The sequence below is a fragment of the Homo sapiens genome, chromosome 3 (genome assembly GCF_000001405.40).
Source record: "Homo sapiens chromosome 3, GRCh38.p14 Primary Assembly".
Classification (NCBI taxonomy): Eukaryota; Metazoa; Chordata; class Mammalia; order Primates; family Hominidae; genus Homo; species Homo sapiens.
Genome location: NC_000003.12, coordinates 151,106,875 through 151,128,212, shown reverse-complemented (window position 1 = coordinate 151,128,212; position 21,338 = coordinate 151,106,875). Strand labels below are relative to the sequence as shown.

The following is a 21,338-nucleotide window of genomic DNA, read 5'->3' as shown; positions in this document are numbered from 1 at the left end:
CAGATTCAGGATATATTTTGGCAGTAAGATCAACAGCCCTTGCTAATGGAGTCAGGATTCTGAGACTGAGTGAACTAGGAACAGCTGCCCTATCCATACCCGAGCAAATCAGTCTCACCACGGACCTTCTCAACACTCACCATGCTGGGCTGTATCCAGAGGGTACAGGCAACAATTACTTGCAAAATCAATAATGAAATGTAAGGTGTATTGTATTCTCTCACTTACCCAAATTCGGATCAGGAGCCTGACGTTTCTTAATTTTAGCTTCAGATATAGCAGAATAATAGGCACAAGTCATCTTGATCAGCCACGTTGCTCGAACCATTGGCACAGAATATTTAGCTAAATATGCAAAAACATCCTCTTTTTTACTAAGGATAGGAACCTAAAAAGAAACAACATAGTATATTTATAATAATCACGTACTGTGTTCATCACTAGATAAACCTAAATAAAGGGGAAGCAAAAGAAAGAGTCTGTAAGTTACCTGCTGGCCCTAAGAAAGTATATCCTTGATGGATTTTCAAATAGTGCATGTAGTTTTTGTTTTTTTAAAGGAACATTTTAAGCCAATTTTCATTAAGAAAAAAATAATCAAAACTAGGTGTAGCACAATATAAAACTTTCACTAGTTGTGCTTTCCATTTTTTTTAAATAAATGATTTTCAAATTCTCAGATGCTGAGAGCTACTCATCTTATCAACAGAGCAAGGAAAAATAATTTCATGACAGTCCTCCAAAGAATTTATCTCAAAATTGGAAGGGACAGACCAAGTGAAAATTGTCCCTACTCTATATTTTATCCAGGACCTTTTTTTGTGTGTGTACAAAGCTTTCTGATTAAAATTTCATAAGAGTAACAATTTCCAGAAAGCTTCTAAAAGTGACATTAGTACAAAATTTAAAAGAGAGACTACAATGATGGATCAGTGAATCTGCCTAATAAACACTGAGCCAGAAATAGCTAGGTAATTAATTTACTGGTTGAAATTAGGCACTTGAGGCAGTTAATTATGTCTTCCAGACCACAAAGGTACTATTTAGCAAATTAGTATCCCAATGTACACTGAATGGTTTGAAAGAGTTAATTCATTCTTCTAGTATCCCTCATAAATATCCTAAGAATAGCCCATTCATCTATATCATCTATTCAAGTTTATGAATATAAAGGAAGAAAAACAGTGAACAAAGACTATATTAGCCACGATGCAGCAGGATGAGAGCAATGAGACTGAGGGCCAAGGACATGCCCCACGCCAGCCATGACCCCCTCTGTACTCCACTCCTGAATGAAACCTGTTTGGCTAAGCCCTTCATTCCTGGGATCCTCATTTATGAGCTGTGTTATTAACATCAACCCTGTCCACCTCACAGGGTAGTTATAAGGATAAAGCAAAACAATTACATGAATCAAAATTACAATGATTATTTTGTTGTCAGTTCCAAGGATTTCTCCATGCCAACCAAAGTGCTTTCAGGCCATGGATGTGACCCTTTCTTAGAGGATCCTGAACATCACTACTATAAATACCAAGAGCCCTGGTCTCTCTGTCCCAAACTCTTACTTGATTTTGTGAAAATCAAGGCTTCAAACCAGCTAACTGATTGATATAGCATGGCATTTTTCTCTTAACCAAATCCTCACTCATACAGTGGATATCTGTGCACTGACATGTCACAAATTTGACCATTCACACACTTGGTACAAAGTGTGATCCTAGAATAATTCTTTTTAAGAGCTCATTCTTTTAGTATGTGGCCCTTAAAAACAAGCAAACTATTTCACCTGGTCTTGCCAAAGAACCATAAAGCTTTTCAATGCTGAAGGAAAAGCTGCCTGGGTTGCACAGTAAGATGCAGCATATAGGCCCTGCACGGCAGCTCAGGACTATTAATACCAGCACTTTGGGAAGCAGAAGCAGGTGGATCACTTGAGCCTAGGAGTTTGAGACCAGCCTGGGCAGCATGGCAAAACCTTACTAAAAATATAAAAATCAGGTGAGTGTGGTGGCACACACCTGTGGCCCTAGCTACTCAGGAGGCTGAGGTGGGAGAATTGCTTGAGCCTGGGAGGTGGAGGTTGCAGTGAGCCAAGATCATGCCACTGCACTCCAGTCTGGGCAATACAGCAAGATCATGTCTCAAAAAAAAAAAAAAAAAAGAGGATGCAGTATATCCACATACATATTTTATGGGCAATTGAAGAGACTTTAGGTCATGTACAGTTCCTGCCTTGGGTGCTGACTTCAGAACACAGACCCCATGACAGAGGCGATTACACTGCACACAACACAACTAAACAGGAGATAAAAGTCATATAGGCCAACGCTAGAAGGCTTCCTCTCTGCAGACAGATACTAAATTTTATCTCTTTTAGACAAAAAAGATACAACTTAACAGGAACATTTCCTGAAAATCAGGCTTACAAGGCACATCTCTCATGGAGCACAAGGCTCTCGGTTTACTGGCCATCATTTAAGTCAGGGACAAGAAAAGCACAGAGTTCAATATTCAGTTCAAGACCCGAGTTGCTGCTTTTCACTAGAATGTACAGTGTGGTGTCAGTGAGTTAAATTTTCATTGTCAAGGTGAGACTGTCTCTCATTCAGACATGCCAAAAGGTTATACAGGTCAAGGCCTAAAACATAAACAAGCGCAAGTTAGCATCTCCAACACAGTCACCACTAGTAGTTATCTTTCACAGATGCCTAAAGGATTTCCTTTGAACTACAATTGGCAGAGGGGAAAAAATAAAACATCTGAATTTGTGAAATGTTTAGATGAGACAGCAAACAAAACTCAGCACAGATCTTACATTAACAGCACAATGCAAACCTCTACCTCACTGTCTCCGTACTAGCAGAACCCCATGAGAACTGGCTGATGCAAATCAAGACTTCGGAATTAAGAAGAACATATGTGAAAGAAGTTACTCAATTAAGAAAGCAGACCGACCAGACACATATTAATAATTTTGTCAAATCTACAGTTGGGCCCACTCAAAAAGAAAAATACGTTTATATTGACTAAAGTATTGACTTCCTCACCTTGTTGCATTACATGTTATTCAGTAAAGAATCCATCTGATTTTAAATGATAGCTAAAACTTGGCAATCACAGGGCAGTTGTCTGGTTCTAAATCAAGCTACAGCCGCATCTAAGTACAGAGAAAATTAAGACACCTAGCATGTGCTGGCTTTCAATCCACAAAAGGGTGTCCTATCACCTTTCTCCTTGGATGCACGTTATCACTGCATCCTCTGTTTGCTAAGCAAGGGTAAAGGCAAAAGAAAATTTCACAGACCACAGTAATCAAAGTCACCTGAAGGGAACAGGTGAGAGTTAATGAACTGCTCAAGACCTGGAAGAATATCCCTAGATGCCAGAAGTCTCCTTTTCCAAATCTATCTACAATTGTGATTGAGTTAAAAGGTCCTTTACAAGCCTCTCTGTGGATAAACGCCTTGGCGCGCTGTGAAGCTTCACAGTAGCAGAAAACCAGGTCCTGAAACATGATCCATACAGGAAACTATTATGAACTCAAGGTAAGATTTCAAAGATGACTCAGGATCTTAGCAAGTAAACCCAGGCTTTCAACCTTAAGCCATCGCACAGATGAATACCAAAAATTAAAGAAGTATTTGAACTTTCTATTATGAAGAACATGCAGAGAATGTATTGCTTTACCCCATTCTAAAAGAGATTTCACCATCTCAAGAAGATGATATGCTGAGGAGGGAAGGGGAAGGATTCTTGAAATGCTCAAGAAATGAATAATTCAAGGTATATTTAATCATTTTATAAAGAAACCATCTTCAAGTTTGCAAAGAATTAACATCAGGGCTTACCTGAGGAACACCTGACTTGGCCAGAGGCAGCTCCCAATAAAGAAAGAAGAATAATGGCTAACACACTGCACCATGATTCAACTTCCTCCTACAAGAGGAGAAACCACTACTTCGCTAGAGCAAGGGCATCAACTCCTCAAGAGTAGCAAATCCAAAATATGCACTCTAAAAACTTATGAAAAAAGAAAACCTAAATGGAAAGATGTCAGGCTGGCAACATGGAAAGTATGAACTGTTAGTCAACAGCCATCAAATATTGAAGGATGCCCTATGACTTATATGGCCTTCAGATACAATTCATAGGCCACAGTGGGACCACAAAGTAAATATTCACCACTGGAAAAGAAGTCATACATGGTTCAGCCTGGATTGAGACAGTGGTACTAACTGAATGGTAAGAGGTGGTTATGCTGACTGTTACACTCTTCCAAGATTTCAGTTGCCTTTCACCACTGAAATCTATGCAAGGCAATACAATGTTATGACATTAAGGCAAAATAAAGCCAATGGAAGCTACAGACACTATTTTCAAAGAGTTGCTTTGGAAAATAGGCAAATATACAAAAGAGCTCCCCTATAAACTGGGCCTGTACCAAGCTGGTAAGGAAAACTTAATACTAAGAACAGAAGACAGGCACTCCTAACACTAAAGGGCCTTAGAAGAGATAAGAAAAGACCCCTGGGATTATTTCAAAGTTGTGCAAGAAATCAGAGATCAGGACTATAAGCGAGGTTTCTAGTTTCTTATATAAATTTCAAGAGGTATCTTATACTGTTTGGACCACAAGATTGTTGAATCTATGTATTATTTCCCACTTGAGAAAAATGACCAAAGGCAAAGATTTTAAAAGAACCTCCCACATCCCCTCCCCTATAAAAAAAGCTAGAAGCTATGAATAAACCTGCCCATTTTGTTCTAAAAATTTTTCAAAGAACAAGCACACACAGAATCACAATCTTTATCTTGCTTGGTAGGAAGGAGACAGCTTGAAGCATTTGGATGGATACTTTTAAAGACAAGAAAATAACCTCAAAGCAAGAATCTTTTTAACAAATCTTGGACATCTTGGCCTAAGAAAACTGGAAATGTAATTTTTTTTTAAATGAAGGCTTCTTGCCTGTTCTTGATTTTAAAATCTTGTCTACCTAAAATCCACATAAACAGCTTGATATGCAGAATGTTTAGGGATTTATAGATGTCCTAGGCACTACATGCAATCAAAATAAAGGGGAAAACAGCATGGAGTAACACCCACCTGGGACCACAAACCTGCCAATAGGCTTGCAGTCTCAAAAAGAATTGGGAAAAACAAATATATACTTGAATATTATCCCAAACAGCTGATTATAAGACCATAACTAAAACAATGTAAGAAATATTTGATACCTTTTTTGCCAAAATAGAAAGTGGCTTATTTCCTGCTAAGTCAGAAAACCAACTATGAATTGCACTCTGGGATCGAGCAGTAACCAGCCAATAATTATCTTTAGCATTAACTTGTGGTTTCTTCTTTCCCGTGTCCTGGAAAGTGTTAAGCTTCAGTTTCTCAGCTAATATGCTGCTAAAATAAGCTCCAATCTGTGGAAAGAAGAGAAAAAAAGGGAAAGTTAAGACAATAAGCAAGTAGCTTAGTACTGTACATTAGTATTTTTCTTTATTGTTTCAATTGAAAATCTTCATACATCCCATCAGAAAATAAATTGGGAATTTAAGTCTTTGAAGCCAAGAGATGTGATTTCCTTACACTAACTCTGATACACAGCACCTTTATACCACTACTCACAAGTAGTTTGGCGGAGGGGGTTAAGGAGAGCCTTTGGAAATCTCTGCTAAGATGAAATTAATTACATCCTGAATAAATTTCAGTAGAATGGGTTCTGCTTTAATCCTTCAGCTGCTCTTTCTCCTTTCTAATACTACGCACCCGTCAGGAGAGAATGCTTTCCCTGAGAGGAGAAAGCCTAGTAATCACTCGGTAATCATTCTTTTTCTTGTTTCATCTTAATAGCACTTATTTTTGGAAAGGAAACTCGGTATTTACACTCAATGCTTTTAAACAAAGAGTCTAGAGAAATTTAATTTATTTAAATGGAAAATTACAAAAGGTTCAATTAAATTTGGTATTCAACATTTTTTATTGGGCTGCCAATTTCAAAACTACAATGTTTCAAGAGAAAGCTAGTATTACCTGCTCTGAATGAGGCAAAGTGGCAAAGAAAGCTACTATGAATTACTGTATCATTTTCATATTAACCAAATTAAAGATGGACAAGGAAAAAAGAAAGGAACAGGAAAGAAGTAACAAGAAGGCAAAGAACAAAGTAATATCTAAAAATTTAGTGAATCTCACTGGGTATGGTGGCTCACGCCTGTAATCACGGCACTTTGGGAAGCCAAGGCAGGCGGATCACCTGAGGTCAAGAGTTCGAGACCAGCCTGGCCAACACAGTGAAACCGCATCTCTACTAAAAAAAAAAAATACAAAATTAGCCTGGCATGCGCTTATAATCCCACCTACTCGGGAGGCTGAGGCATGAGAATCACTTGAACCCAGGAGCCAGAGGTTGCAGTGAGCCAAGATCACACCACTGCACTCCAGCCTGGATGACAGAGTGAGACTCCATCTCAAAAATAAAAATAAAAATAAAAAATAAATTCAGTGAATCTATAGAAAATCTGTTGGAATTTTTTCAAGAATCCTATCAAAGCATCACATTTCAGACTCTGGGAGTTCTTTAATACAATGATGCAGTTAATTTCTGATAAATATCCCCAATGAAGTTAGCAGAAAGTGGCAACCATGACTAAAATAAAATACTTACCCTGTTGAAGCAAAATAAGAATCACCACCTTAGTTAATGAGTCAATAAACAATTAGTCTATAGGTTGAAACACAGTTGTAAGCCATTAGCCAAATTCATCTATAGGGTAAAAAGCCTGACATTCTTTGATCTTTGTGATTGATGTAATGCCATGAAGTCTGGTTTTGGTGTGTTAACGTAATACAATAATAAAAATTAGAATAAGTAGAAAAGGAGTCCGTCTTTTTTTTATACAAACAACTTCATTGCAGTTTGTGATTTCTTTCAAAGCAAATATTTGCAGGATGTCCAAACAGTGAATAAATTAAGTGCAAAAATGTAGGAAAACCAGCTGTTTGGAAACAAGCAGCCAGTAGCAGCCAATTGTTTAATTTTAAATTTCTCAATTGATATTTGGTCTTTGCACCAAGAGCACAAAACACCTACAGCTGCAGATTGCTATACATTCAAAAGGTCTCTTATTTGCAATTATCTTTAAGTATTTAATAATAACAAGCAGAGCTCTAAAAATGAAAAAAGTAGTCTGAGCAATCTATTTTATAATTATATTCTCCTATATACTTAATGATAGCAATGGAACACAGTGACTGCATGTTTATGTATTAATTCCTGCTAACAAGCCCTTGTAAACAAATGCATACTGTTAACAAAGTCAAAATTCCCAAGAAAGCAAAAGACTAGAAAATACACATTAGGGCTCCAAAAAAGGTCAAAACATGATTATAACATTTAATTGCAATAGCAATATATATTATTCAGAAATCAATCCATAAATACAATAAAAAGTAAAGAGCCGCCTCATTCCCAAGTCCCAATGTCTACCTCCAAGTAAACAATTTGATTCATTTCTTATGTGTCCTTCCATTGTTTCCTTATGTGGATACAGGTGAGTAAACACACATCTATTATTTTTTTCTTCCTTGTATGTATAGCTCATTATGCACACTTAGTAAATGAGACCCTTCCTTATCTGTATACAGAAAGCTTCTTCATTTTTATAGACACATAACAATGTACTGTGTGGATATACATTTAATCAAGCTACCATTAATGGACATTTACAGCATTTTTTGCAAAATGTTGCTATTACGAATCACACTAAAATAAGTAGCCTTTCACATTTGTTATTTCATACATAGTCAGCTGGAGCTTTAGGCTAGGCTTCCAGAATTCAGACTGTATAATTCTGCAATTTTAATAAGCATTGCCAAATTGCCCTCTAAAAGGTTTATAGAGTTGTGTACTCCCGCAAACAAGGTATAAGAGGTAAGGTGTTTTTTGTTTGTTTTTGGTTTTTCGTTTTGTTTTTTTTTTTGAGACAGTCTCACTCTCTTATCCAGGCTAGAATGCACTGGTGTGATTTCGGCTCACTACAACCTCTGCCTCCTGGGATCAAGCGATTCTCCTGCCTCAGCCTCTCAGAGTAGCTGGGATTATGGGTGCCGACCACCACACCCAGCTAATTTTTTTTTTTTTTTTTTTAGTAGAGACAGGGTTTCACCGTGTTGGCCAGGCTGGTCTCGAACTCCTGACTTCAGATAATCCACCTGCCTCAGCCCCCCAAAGTGCTGGGATTACAGGTGTGAGCCACCACACACGGCCAGAAATAAGGTTAAATTTAACATTTGTTTCCATCCATCCAAAGCTATTTTCAAAAATAATTCATTTGATAAGAATGTGGGGAAAAAATTTAGGAGTTACATTATAATTCATGTATTTCATATTTATAAAATCAAATTCCCCTCAGAAGTCTTGGGTCCTTGAGTAAATCTCACAGAAAGAGTGGTAGCGGAAGTGTAATAGATGTTATTTCCATTTACTTAGTTATTTAAACTGACATAAAACTTTATACAACTGAACAATTTAGCAGTTCATATCAAGAGACATAAAGCATTCATACTCTCTGTTATGAGACTAAATTGCATCCTCAAAATTCATCCTCAAGCCTTAACCCTCAATGTGACTATATTTGGAGATAGGGCCTTAAGGAGGTAATTAATGTTAAATAAGGTGACAGGACTGGGCCCTAATCCAGTAGGACTTTATAAGAGGAGACACCACGGAGGAACACACAAGGAGAAAAGACCATGTGAAGACACAGTGAGAAGGTGGTCATCTGCAAGCCAAGGAGAGACGCATCTGGAGACACCAGACCTGCTGACACCTTATCTTGGACTTCCAGCCTTCAGATAGTGAGAAAATAAATTTCTGTTGTTTAAGACACCCAGTCTGAAGTATTTTGTTATAGCAGCCCTGGTAGATTAATACACCCTTTAACCAAGTAGTAATACAATTCAGGGAATTTATCCTAAAGAACAAAAGCTATACTTTCAAGTATGACTACAGTTTCTTTATACATAACCATGAGAAATTGGCAACAGACTAACTGCTGTATATAGAGGTTTCAGTCAATTACAGCACATACATCATCGAATGTTATCTAGCCATGAATTATTATTCATATGACTACTTTAGCCATAAGGAAAAGTGCATACAAAATAATGTTTCAATTTTTTAAAGTAGACCAATTAAGAAAGATGGTAAGGCTCTGAGGCCGGGCACAGTGGCTCACATCTGTAATCCCAGCACTTTGGGAGGCCAAGGCAGGCAGATTACTTAAGGTGAGGAGTCCGAGACCATCCTGGCCAACATGGTGAAACCCTGTCTCTACAAAAATACAAAAATTAGCCAGGTGTGGAGGCGGGTGCAGCCAGCTACTCGGGAGGCTGAGGCAGAAGAATGGCTTGAACCTGAAAGGCAGAGGTTGCAGTGAGCGAAGATTGCACCACTGCACTCCAGCCTGGGCGACGGAGCAAGACTCCACCTTGTAGATCTGGTTTGGGGGAGAGGAATATAAACCTGGAATACGTCTCAAAAAAAAAAAAAAAAAGTTCTGGAGATGGATAGTGACAATGGTTGATGTTTGCAACAACGATGCAAATGTACTTAATACCCAAGAACTGTACACTTAAAAATGGTTAAATGGTAAATGTTATGTATGTTTTATCATAATTTTAAAAAAGAATCATAAATTACATATACATAATTGCGGTTGTAACGTAAAAAATTGTACCAAGATTGAAAAAAGACAAAACTAAAAACGTGTTTAGTCAATAGGACTATCTGCAGAAAATGTTTCTATGTTCTTTCACACTGCTTAAGTAATATTTCAGTTGATAGTTTAACAAATTGTCAATTATTTATATATTTGTGTGCACATAAAGAGAGATCTGGAATGATACACAAACCATTAACATGTTTCTCTGGAGAAGGGAAAGGAAATAGAAATTCACCTGCATGTCTGATTTCTTTTCATTTGTATGTGTGTTTTTAATTTCACAAAAGTATTTTAACATCCAACTCAAAATATATATATAAAAAAAACCCTAAAAGATTACAAATAGAAACACAAACAATTCTATTTACATTCCTTTTTTTTTTTTTTTTTGAGATGGAGTCTAGCTTTGTCACCCAGGCTGGAGTGCAGCGGCGCAATCTCGGCTCACTGCAACCTCCGCCTCCTGGGTTCAAGCAATTCTCCTGCCTCAGCCTCCCAAGTAGCTGGGATTACAGGCGCCCACCACCACACCCAGCTAATTTTTATATTTTTAGTAGAGACAGGGTTTCACCATGTTGGCCAGGCTGGTCTCGAACTCCTGACCTCAGGTGATCCTCCTGCCTCGGCCTCCCCAAGTGCTGGGATTACAAGTGTGAGCCACCACGCCAGCCTATATTCCTAATTGATAAGATAAACACACAGAAAAAGACATTTAATTTTAAAAAAATTTTTTGAGCACAACATTCTGAGTATACACTTTTAATGAGAGTTAGTCTAAGGGCAAAAAGTATTGTAGAAAAATTCTACATTTATTCAGTGGTTTTGTTGTTGGAGTGGCAATGAAGTATTTTATTCTGGAACTTTTTTATGTGTGTTGTAAGGCGGAATAAATGAATAAATATATTGATATTATTAAGAGCCAGGGTTCTCACTTTGGGAGAAGGGAGACCTAAAAACGGAATACGAAAAAGCAGGGGAAATACCCTGCAGCACTGGGCTAGAAAAGGTAATGATAGGTAGGTAGAAAAAATATGTATCTATGTGTCCCATCTCTGTCCACTGAGAAAGCCTAGAAAGAATGACACTCCAGTAGCACTGAGCATCCAGATCTGGTTTGGGAAAGAACAAGATAAACTTGGAATATGTTTTGGTGCCAAAAGTAAAGAAGTGCTCAAAGGATGACAAGGACATTTAACCAGCAGCCAGGTTAGCGGGGCCCCTACTGGCAGAACATGAAACAATTTGAGCATCAAAAAGAAAAATGAAGGTACGGATTATAACACGACAAATTAAAAGAAAAAAAAAGAATCCAAAGTGACAATAAAAACTTGAGTTTAAAAGAAAGCACTTCTTTTAATAAAAGAATGCCAAGTAAAACATGCGTATGGAATAATTAGAAAACCTGCATTTTGCAATCACCAGCAAAATAAATCATTCAGCAGGAGTCATCAACTGATGCTAAAATAACAGGATGAACTTTTACTGAAGAATAGGATATTTATATCCTCTCAAATTATCACCTTGTAGACCTTACTAAGAGGTAGAGAGGACTACCTTTCCAATGCAGGGAGATGGTAGACACCACCCGGACCAAGCGATCAAACTATAGCCAATAGTAGGGCAAACTGGCATTGTGTGTCTCCTGGTATGATGCAATGTAGTCTTCTTACCAAAAATATCTAACCTGGATCCCGTCATGAGAAAACAATCAGAAAAATCTAGAATATAGCACTAGTATGTCAGACAACTGACCTGGGCTCTTCTAGAATAGCAGTCATAAAAGCCTTTTTAAAAAAAGGCAGGAATGGGGAGGAGGGAGAGGCAGAGAGCTGTACTGTACTAAATTAAAAGATGTGACAAGGAAATGCAATGTATGATCCCTGATTGGATCCTGGGGCAGGACGGTATACATGGTATTTGGGGGAAATCTGAATATGGACTGTGGCTTAAACAACACTAATTTATCAACAGTGATTATTAAGGGTGTCACATATACACACTTTTTCAGGAGTTTGAGGAAACAAACAAATAACATTACCTTTGATGGGTTAATTACAATATTTCTGGCTGAGCCATGTTCATCTCCAGTGAAGGCTGGCTGATTATTGAAGCCTTGCTTTACATTCACAGCAGTAAGTTCATCCTGTTCAAGAGACGGTATTGATTAAGCAGAAGGATGTAAAAGCTTCAACATAATCCCACATATTGCATCCTAAGTAATGGCTAAATTTGTTATACTCTGTAGAGGAGAACTCTTGAAAGGACAACAATCAGAGAAGGCAGAAATTGAAGTTTAAACACCAATACATAAACACATAAATGTGTAGAGGGATGAAGCAAATGTTAACTGTTGACTCTAGGTGCAGAGTATATGGGTATTCCTTATACTATTCTTTTTTTTTTTTTTTTTTTTTTTGGAGATGGAGTCTCGCTCTGTCGCCCAGCCTGGAGTGCAGCGGCGCAATCTCGGCTTACTGCAACCTCCACCTCTCGGGTTCAAGCCATTCTCCTTTTCCTCAGCCTCCCGAGTAGCTGGGATTACATACAGTCGCCTGCCACGATGCCCGGCTAATTTTTGTACTTTTAGTAGAGATGGGGTTTCACCATTTTGGCCAGGCTGATCTCAAACTCCTGACCTCAAGTGATCCTCTGGCCTCAGCCTCCCAAAGTACTGGGATTACAGGTGTAAGCCACCCCACCTGGCCCATTATACTATTCTTTTAACTTTCCTGTAAGTTTAGATTTTTTTTTACTTATAAGTTAGAAAAAGAAAAAAATGAGCAAAAATCTCACCGAAATATAAAATGATAGGATTTTTTTAAGAATTGTTTCCAGGCCGGGCGCGGTGGCTCATGCCTGTAATCCCAGCACTTTGGGAGGCCAAGGCATGTGGATCACCTGAGGTTAGGAGTTCAAGACCAGCCTGGCCAAAATGGGGAGACCCCATCTCTACTAAAAACAAAAATTAGCTGGGCGTGGTGGCAGGTGCCTGTGATCCCAGCTACTCTGCAGGCTGAGGCAGGAAAATCGCTAGAACCTGGGAGGCGGAGGTTGAAGTGAGCCGAGATCACACCACTGCACTCCAGCCTGGGTGACAGAGTGAGACTCCATCTCAAAAAAAAAAAAAAAAAAAAAAAAAAAAAAAAAAAAAAAGAATTGTTTCCAGAGAGCCCACAGTTTGTTTCTCCATTCCTGGCCAACCCCTATGCACACACCTGTTTTATGTTTAAGAAAGCTGGCTCACCAACTTACCCAAGACTAACAGTAAATTAAAGACAGAAACAAAAGGTTCCTAGGCACACGCCTTATGATTACAGCCACACAACATCACAACCTACAACTGAAGGGAAGTTTAGAGCTGCAATGTTTTCTCACGTATTTTGGCTCACTTGATCTTTGCCAACTCCAATTCCAAGGGAGACAGTAGGTATGTATCTTCATGCCCGTTGTACAGATGAGAAAAGTGTGCCTCACTAAGCTAGTGCAGCAATTGGACAAAGCCAGCACGGAAATACTATCTTCTAAATCCTAGACTAGGAAGAGAAATTTCCATGACACCATGCCACCAAAGAACAAATGCCACATGAAAATGTGGTCTAAAAATATGTGCCTACAACTCCTACTCTCCTTAAAAAGATCTCCTACTGGATAGATACAGGAATACTTTTCCAAGGTCACAACACATCAAAAATAACCCAAGGCTTTAAAAAAGAAAAAAAAAAAAAACCTTCTTGCCCTACCCAGATTATCATTGAGTTATGGAACTACATCAGAGTTCCTAAAATACAGACCTGAAAGAATAAGAGGGAGAGATTTGAGTAAATGAAGCTACCTCCTGCTCCCCTCACTCCAAGCCAAGAAATAATCCTAGTAACAGTTGGAGTAATGGTAGCCACGGCACAAGAATAAGATACACTTATTCCTCTATGTAACTGCTGAATGCATAAAATGAAAAACAGCAATTGATCAAAATCACCGCTATGATTAATCAAGAAGCTTAGAACAAAATAGTTTATGACATTTAAGCACCTAACCAAACTCTAAAAAGGTCACCCTAGCTGAGAAAGAGGTCTCCTGGAGACATGCCATGTAACTTTACTTAATTATGTGTGCTCTTACTAATGCCTTGGCGGGCCACTGTTTTGGCGGGTTTTCAAAAGACCCCGCTATAGGAAATTTCACTCTATGGTAATCAAGTCTCCTCCAAGCATAGGTCACTGAAATCGTGATCCGCACAGAATATGAGTTACGTGTACATTATCAGAAGATATCTCCAAACTGCTCCTACATTTTCAAATAAATTATGTGAAAATATAGAGCAAAACTACATAATGCATATTTTAAGTCAGAAAGGTTTCAGTCAACTTAAAGCAAATGTGCTACCAAAATTTCAGTAGTCTCTGAGTCTAAGAAAGTAGGAGTACCAGCAGTGAGCTCAGGGGGAAAGTAGGATGAGAAAACTGAATATTTATCTTTGATTTGCCGTCAGAGTATTATAAGAAACATTGAGTAACAGCATATGTTTTTACTAAAAATACATTCTGGCCTAATCAAGAAGAATGTGTGAGATTTTAAGAACCAGATAGTTTAGTATTGCTTCAGTTTTTACTTTAAACTAACACCAGATCAGATAGCTGCTCATTGTATCCAACTGCTAATCGCTGGGATGAAGAGACACACCCACTCCTGAGTGTGTGCACAAACTCAGAATCCCCAGAAGGAAAAGAACATGGAACAATGGATACATATCTGTCATCTACCTCAGATTTTCCTCAAACTAGGAGCCACACAGATATTATTGGGAGCTTTGAGTTCTGAGAAGTTTAAACTTTGCATTCTAAATTTCACAAAAATACATGTAGAATTTGACCACTTCTCATTACCACCACTGCATCATCTCATGCTTACGCAATGCAATGTCTCCTAACTGGTCTCCTAGCTTCTCCCCTTGCCCCCTGAAGGCCACTTTGACCACAGCAGCCATAGGGAGCTTTTTAAAACTCAAGTGAGACCATGTCACTCCTGCTCCAAATGCTCCATTTTACTCAAAGTACAAGCAAAGGCCCTATGATGTCCTAAAAGTTCCTGTGTGATCTTAACCCCATTACCTTTCTGGTCTCATCCCTAACCACACTTCCCTTCACTAACACTGTCTAGTCTCCTTGCAATTTCTCAAACACACCAGCCCAGCATTCTCTAATCAGGGATTTTGCACTGTCTGTTCCCTCTGCCTAGACTGCTCTTTTTCCTGGTATCCACATGGTCAATGACCTGACCACCTTAACTTTTTGCTCAAATTTCACATTCTCAATGAGAAATGTGATGACCCTATTTAAAACTGGAACTGTCCACCCATTCCCTTTACCTCCCAGCATTCCTAATCCTTCAACAATCCATAGCATTTATCACCTAAAACACACTATAATTTACTTAGAATGTGTATTGGCTGTCTCCTCGACAAGAAGATAAGGTGCATAAAACTGGGGATCTTTATTTTGTTGACAAACGCAGGCCAAGCACAGAGTGCACAGATGCAGTGCCTGGCAAATAGCACACATCGCAGCTGTTCAATAAATATTTGTTCAAAGAATAAATGAAAGACATCCTATTCTGAACAATTAACATGAGCATATTCTGAGTCACTACCTCATGAATTTGGAGTTGTAATTTCATTTGTGTTTCTAACTAGCACTGCTTTGTCACCCAGAGTAGGGGCACTCAACCCATCAAACCCCACACACCATCCTGAAAACAAACATTTTATAACATCGATTTCCCTAGTGTGAAATGAAATTCATAGATAACTTACCTATATCAATATTTTTTAATCAATATAATGCTCTCGTTCTAAAATTTTTAAAAAGGAAAGTAACTTAAAATAGGCACTTCAACAGGAAACGCTCAGGCACACTACAATGGACTCTCACAACTGAAAGTGTGGTCCATGGCCCTGGAGCACTGGCATTACCTGCAAGCCTGTTAGAAAGGCAGAATCTCACTCCTCCCCCAGAGTCACAATCAGCCTCTTAACAAATTCCCACATGATTCATGGACACATTAGACTTTGAAGAAGCAGGGCCCTAGAAGGCAGAGAATTGCTTGAACCCGAGAGGTGGAGGTTGCAGAGAGGAGAGATCGTGCTGCTGCACTCCAGCCTGGGCAACAGAGCGAGACTCCATCTCAAAAAAAAAAAAAAAAGAAAAAGAAATTGTTAAATGTTTGCTCCTATTCCTAGCATTAGCACAACATAGTAACTACAAAATGCAAACTGATACAGGTGTGCTGTATTGCCATTTCAAATGATCAGGAAGAGCATAACATGAATTTTTTGAAACTGTGATACACTCTTGCTACAGTTTCAAACTAACAAAATAGTCTCCCAACATAGTAAGACGCAACAGTTATATTCCTCAGAAACTCAGTGTGTATTAAATGTATATTAAAATCATACAAAAAATACTTTGAGATCATACGTAAAACAGATTCCCATCTGAGATGGGAAAAAAACAGTTGAAGGTTTCAGTGACACATCTGAAAGTGCAGGGGACACAGGACAATTTTTCATGGAACCCACCCATCCGCGCACTGAAGACAGCCCCACCCACTCAATGGTAGCAGCCACAACCAACTAACTCCTCTTCCCCGCCCAGATTTCCACAGCACTTCCAGTGAGAGCCACAGACCCACCAGAGGGATAGCTTTTATCTTTTAGAGCCCTATTCTGAAAAGGAGGTTCACAGGCTCTGGGTTTAAGAAACACTGAGCTCCATACTGAAGTGTCAGTCAAAATCTTGCTCGTGCTGCAACACGACAACAATGGGGATGCTCTAATTCCAACTCACTAGGCCATCCTCTGGCTCGCAGTTGTGGTTCCAGGTGGATACACGCTGGCACCAGCTAAGACTGACTGATGGAGATGCAGACAAGAGTGGGGACAGCACTGTGGGTAAGAGCCCAGGGTCTGCAATCAGACAGCTCGAATTTAAACCCCCTACTCCATTTAAGAGGGACTCTAAGCAAGCTCTGGGACCATTGCTGTGCCTCCGTTTCCTCAATTGTAAAACGGGGATAGTAATAGTTTCTACCATGTTATCTCCATAACCCAGTTCAAAAAAAAATAAAGCCCAGAGAGAAACTAACTTGACCAAGGTCACACAGTAGTGAAGAATTCCAAAAAGTCTATGCTCCCAACCATCAAACCATATAAAAATGGCTGGCAATTAGCATTGCTGCTATTGTTCGTATCATATTTTTGGTTCCAGAAAGTGATAACCTGAAGCTCCAGTCAGAAGAGATACAAAAAACCTTCTTGGGAAAATAAAAAGACCCTTTCCTTAAAGCAGTGGCTCTCTAACTTTTACATCTATCAGAATCCTCTGAAGAACTTGCTAAAGCACAGCTGCTGGTCCCACCCACAGAGTTCCCACTTCAGTAGGTCAGGGGTGGTGCCTGAGAATCTGTATTTCTAACAACTTCCCAGGTGATGCTGATACAGAGACCATGCTAACATGAAGAGTTGAGGTTTCTGCCTCTCTAGAAAACCGGGGTTTCCATGCCCAGTGCCAGTACAGGTCTCACCACCAGGAAGAAAATGGATGTCCCATCTTGGCTCAACAGCAGCAGATCCCAAGAGGAAAAGTCCATTCAGAATTCTCTACCATACCCCCTTCCTTCTCTCACTGTAAGGGCACAAATGCAAAGCTACACACACACACACACAAACATACATACAGATCCAGGAAGGAACCAAGCGTATAAAGTTTTCACTTCACTCCTTTAACTTCCTATAGAACACTAGGGCCACAGAGCCAAAAAAGAAGCTGTCACTTCTGTGAGGTTTATTAGTACAAAACTTTAGGTCAGGGACCTAGAGAAACTAAGTGAAAGGAGGTAAAAATCCAGAGTATCACAACCAAAAAAATGCACCTTGATGGTCTATTTCCTGAAGTTTCTGAGAAGAGTTAACATCAATGACAAAAATCCAAAAGATAAGAATAAGATTCAAGTTCCAGAGTGTTAACTATTGTTGCTTAGACATTATTTCTCAAACTCCAGTAATGCACCAATAGACCCCTTTTAGAGGAAAACCACAGCCTCAGGGAGTCCTTAGACCCCAAGTTTGGGAAACTGGGCTGGACATGGACACTTAATGGTATTAGGCAGCATTAAGAGGTTCCAAACAAGAGGTAATGCGTGTCACCTGAACTCAAATAACAAACTTTTATGACACTGCTCTGAAGGCTTTTGTCAAGTCTAATCAGGCAAAAATAGAAAGAGGAGAGTCCAAATTTTGGAACAGCATGCCTCTAAAACCCCCAAGCCAGAATGTTTAAGGGACACAAATAGCTTCCTCTTGTACTAGCCCCAAACCTCTTCAAAGATGTCTTGAAATAATGGAGGGTAACAGCCACCAAAATTCTTACGACGCCTTTCCTTACAGAGATTTAAGCTTGTTCACTATATCTAGCCAACAGTTCTTATAATAGAACTTCCAGCAACTACTTTGCCCATCTGCAAAGGTGAGGCAACTAAGATCCCAAAAACGTGAGGCACACACAACAGTTAGTCAAGATCCTGTTCCCAGGGTCGTGCTCTGGGAACCAGATCAACAGCACTGAACCTTTTAAAAGGACTCTTACTAAAGGCTGCACATCTTCCTGTTGTACAACATGGAAAGTAAGAGAAAAAATAAAGCACTTTTAATAACTGTTGGGAAGCAGAAGAGACCATGAATCCAGACATACTTTTAAATATGTTTAACATTAACAGCATCTAGGGCAAAATAGTTGTACACACATGTCCAAGACCAAGTATTAACTAAGCCAAGAGACAATGCCAGCTGAGAATGTGAATTCACAGTCCTCACCAAGCGGCCCAGAGTAGCAGTGCACCAAACCATTGTGCACATGGATTTCAACAGATTTACAACAAAGTAATCCAAACATAGAGAAAGGAGAACTCTCACACCTCTTGTCATTGGTTTCGACTAAAATAACAAGCTTTAAAGCAATTCGAGGGAGACAGGCACACAGAGAGAAACAGAAACCAAAGTCCAGAAAATAGTCCATGCTAATATGTAAGGCCTGTGTTCACTCTGTATTTTTGTATTCTACACTGATAACAAAAATCAGACCTTCGGCCCAGTGCGGTGGCTCACGCACTTTGGGAGGCCGAGGCAGGCAGATCCCGAGAGGTCAGGAGATTGAGACCATCCTGGCTAACACGGTGAAACCCCGTCTCTACTTAAAATACAAAAAAATTGCCGGGCGTGGTGGCTGGTGGCTGCGTGTAGTCCCAGCTACTCGGGAGGCAGGAGAATCACTTGAACCCGGGAGGCAGAGGTTGCAGTGAGCCGAGATTGCGCCACTGCACTCCAGCCTGGGCGACAGAGCGAGACTCCATCTCAAAAAAAAAAAAAATTCAGACCTTCGATACTTCGGGTAACCTCCAACTGCATCCATAAATCTCATGCATTTACCTTGAACTTCACAGAATGATCTTATTTTTTGGATCACTTTCAAAGCAATCTTTTAATTTCAATGAAATGTTTCACTGGGAAAGTGAAAACATTTTGATGCTAGTTTGGGAATTTCTTAAGCTCTTTTGCACTCAAGAAAAAAATAAGCTCAGTTTAACACAATTTTCAATGGCCATCTCAAAGTCAGATAATGCACACAAATACATACTACAGACACTCACAACCTCCTGAGCGTCACCCTCTATCGCACAGAACATGCGCAGAAACTCCCAATTTTTTCCGTCCCCTAGTCACATCTAACAAACCAGTTCCATGACGATTCAATGAATTGGACAGAAATGTCCACCAGGGATGAGAAAGCCACAGAAGTAGAAAAATATCCCTCTATGCGCTAGTCAAGAAGGCTGAGTTAGCTCAAGTCTTACTCAGAACAAACAAAACACTTTTCATGGTTTTATAGCTATATTTCCTAGCCTTGTCCACCTCTCCCCCAAAAGAACATTCTCTCAGACCCCCAAGGATGTCTGTAAACCCCAGTTTGGGAAACTGGGCTATGATAATCCCCATCACAGATACATGTAATTGTTACTAGGCAACACCTACAGTTAGCAGATATAAAAGACCTGGAAGATAAGGGAAGAATCTTTTACTCCTCATAACTCATCATTAACCAAACCTATCCATACTTCTCTCAAAACATATCTCCCCTTTATTCCTTCCTTTAAAATACTACAACCCCCCTCCCACCCACCACCTGCCCCTCACCCCACCCCTACCAACTGAGGCAGCTGTTACAGCAGGATTCGGCTACTGCTCCGCACACATTTCACTCCTGTCCAGCATGCCTACTGGCCCTGGATGAATCTTCCTGAAACAGTTTTCTATTCTGCACTCTCCTATCCAAAAGCATCAGAAGGCTTTCTTCTCTTTTTCCCCTGAGAAGCGAAAAAGCAGCATCTAGCATAACTGTCTACAAACCCTCAATAACATCTCTGGTCTTCTCCCCACTTATCTCTGGCCCCAAATCAAAACACAGTCGCCCAGGACTGGCATTCAAAGCCTTAAACAATCAAGCCCAGCATTCCAGCCTTGCTTCCATTCTAAGTGTGCGAGTCACATGGATCTGCGTTTGAATGCATAGGCTTACCTACGATTGAGACTAAGATAACTGATCTCTGTATCTTGGTGGCTTTGTTTGAAAGGAGACAGGAATAACTCACAGGACTGAGGTTACATAAGATTAAATGTGCAGAGTTTAGCACAGTGCCTGGTCCATTATTAAATGCCCTATAAATGGTGGCTATTGTTATTATAGCTGTTTTCTATTTTTGTATTTTAACTTTCATTTAATCTATTTTATTATATGCCATCCCACATACGCTGTCTTTTCAACCTCTAAGCCTTACATCATGCCATTCCCACCCCCTGAAATACATTATTATGAAATATTTTATATTTTTCAAGCCACAACTCAAGGCCTGCTCCCCGTCCTTCATTCGATTAACAAATAATTATGCATACAGACTCTGCTAAGTCCAGGGGATTCCATAGTGAGCGAATTCCAAGTGTTATAAATACCCCAAACTGCCTGCTCAGAAAGCACATAACAGTGGCTTAAACTAGTCTGGGGAGTTAGACAAGAATGCTCTGAAAAGGTGGCCTTTGACCTGAGCTCTGACTGCAAAGTAGGAGTTAACTTCAAGAGGATAGCCTCTTACAGTGGTAAGCTTCTGATATTTTGCATGAAATGATATAATATTAACTCTAAGGAGATCATGAATAGGTAGGGTGTAGACTGTAATTCCTAGAGCAACAACTCCGAAAAACAACACAAATAAGTATAACTAAAATGCAATTGGTAAACAAAAGTTATTTTTAAAATAGTCTAATAATCCAAAAAAAAAAAAAAAGCTGGGGACACAGAAAACAAATAGTAAAATGGTAGACCCAAAGCCAACCATATCAATAAGCACATTAAATGCTAATTAAATATTCGTGGACTAAGACTCCAATTAGAAGACTGGAATTGTCAGAATGAGTAAAAAAGTAGAGCCCAACTACAGGCTATACTTTAAATATAAAGACATACTTTAAATATAGAGACAGATAAGTTGATAGGAAATGGATG

General features: G+C 39.3%; 1 protein-coding gene across 24 annotated transcripts in view; it reads right to left on the bottom strand.

Annotated features, from left to right (window-relative positions):
• Window positions 1-21,338, bottom strand: part of MED12L (mediator complex subunit 12L) — a 350,990-nt gene that overhangs the window by 308,441 nt on the left and 21,211 nt on the right. For all 24 annotated transcript variants that reach the window (XM_017005676.2, NM_001393769.1, XM_017005678.2 and 21 more), the window contains 3 exons: window positions 11,771-11,875; window positions 5,239-5,430; window positions 229-388 (listed from right to left, as the gene is read on the bottom strand). In XM_017005676.2, the coding sequence (XP_016861165.1) occupies window positions 229-388; window positions 5,239-5,430; window positions 11,771-11,875 (457 nt within the window). The remainder of the gene's footprint in view (window positions 1-228; window positions 389-5,238; window positions 5,431-11,770; window positions 11,876-21,338) is intronic.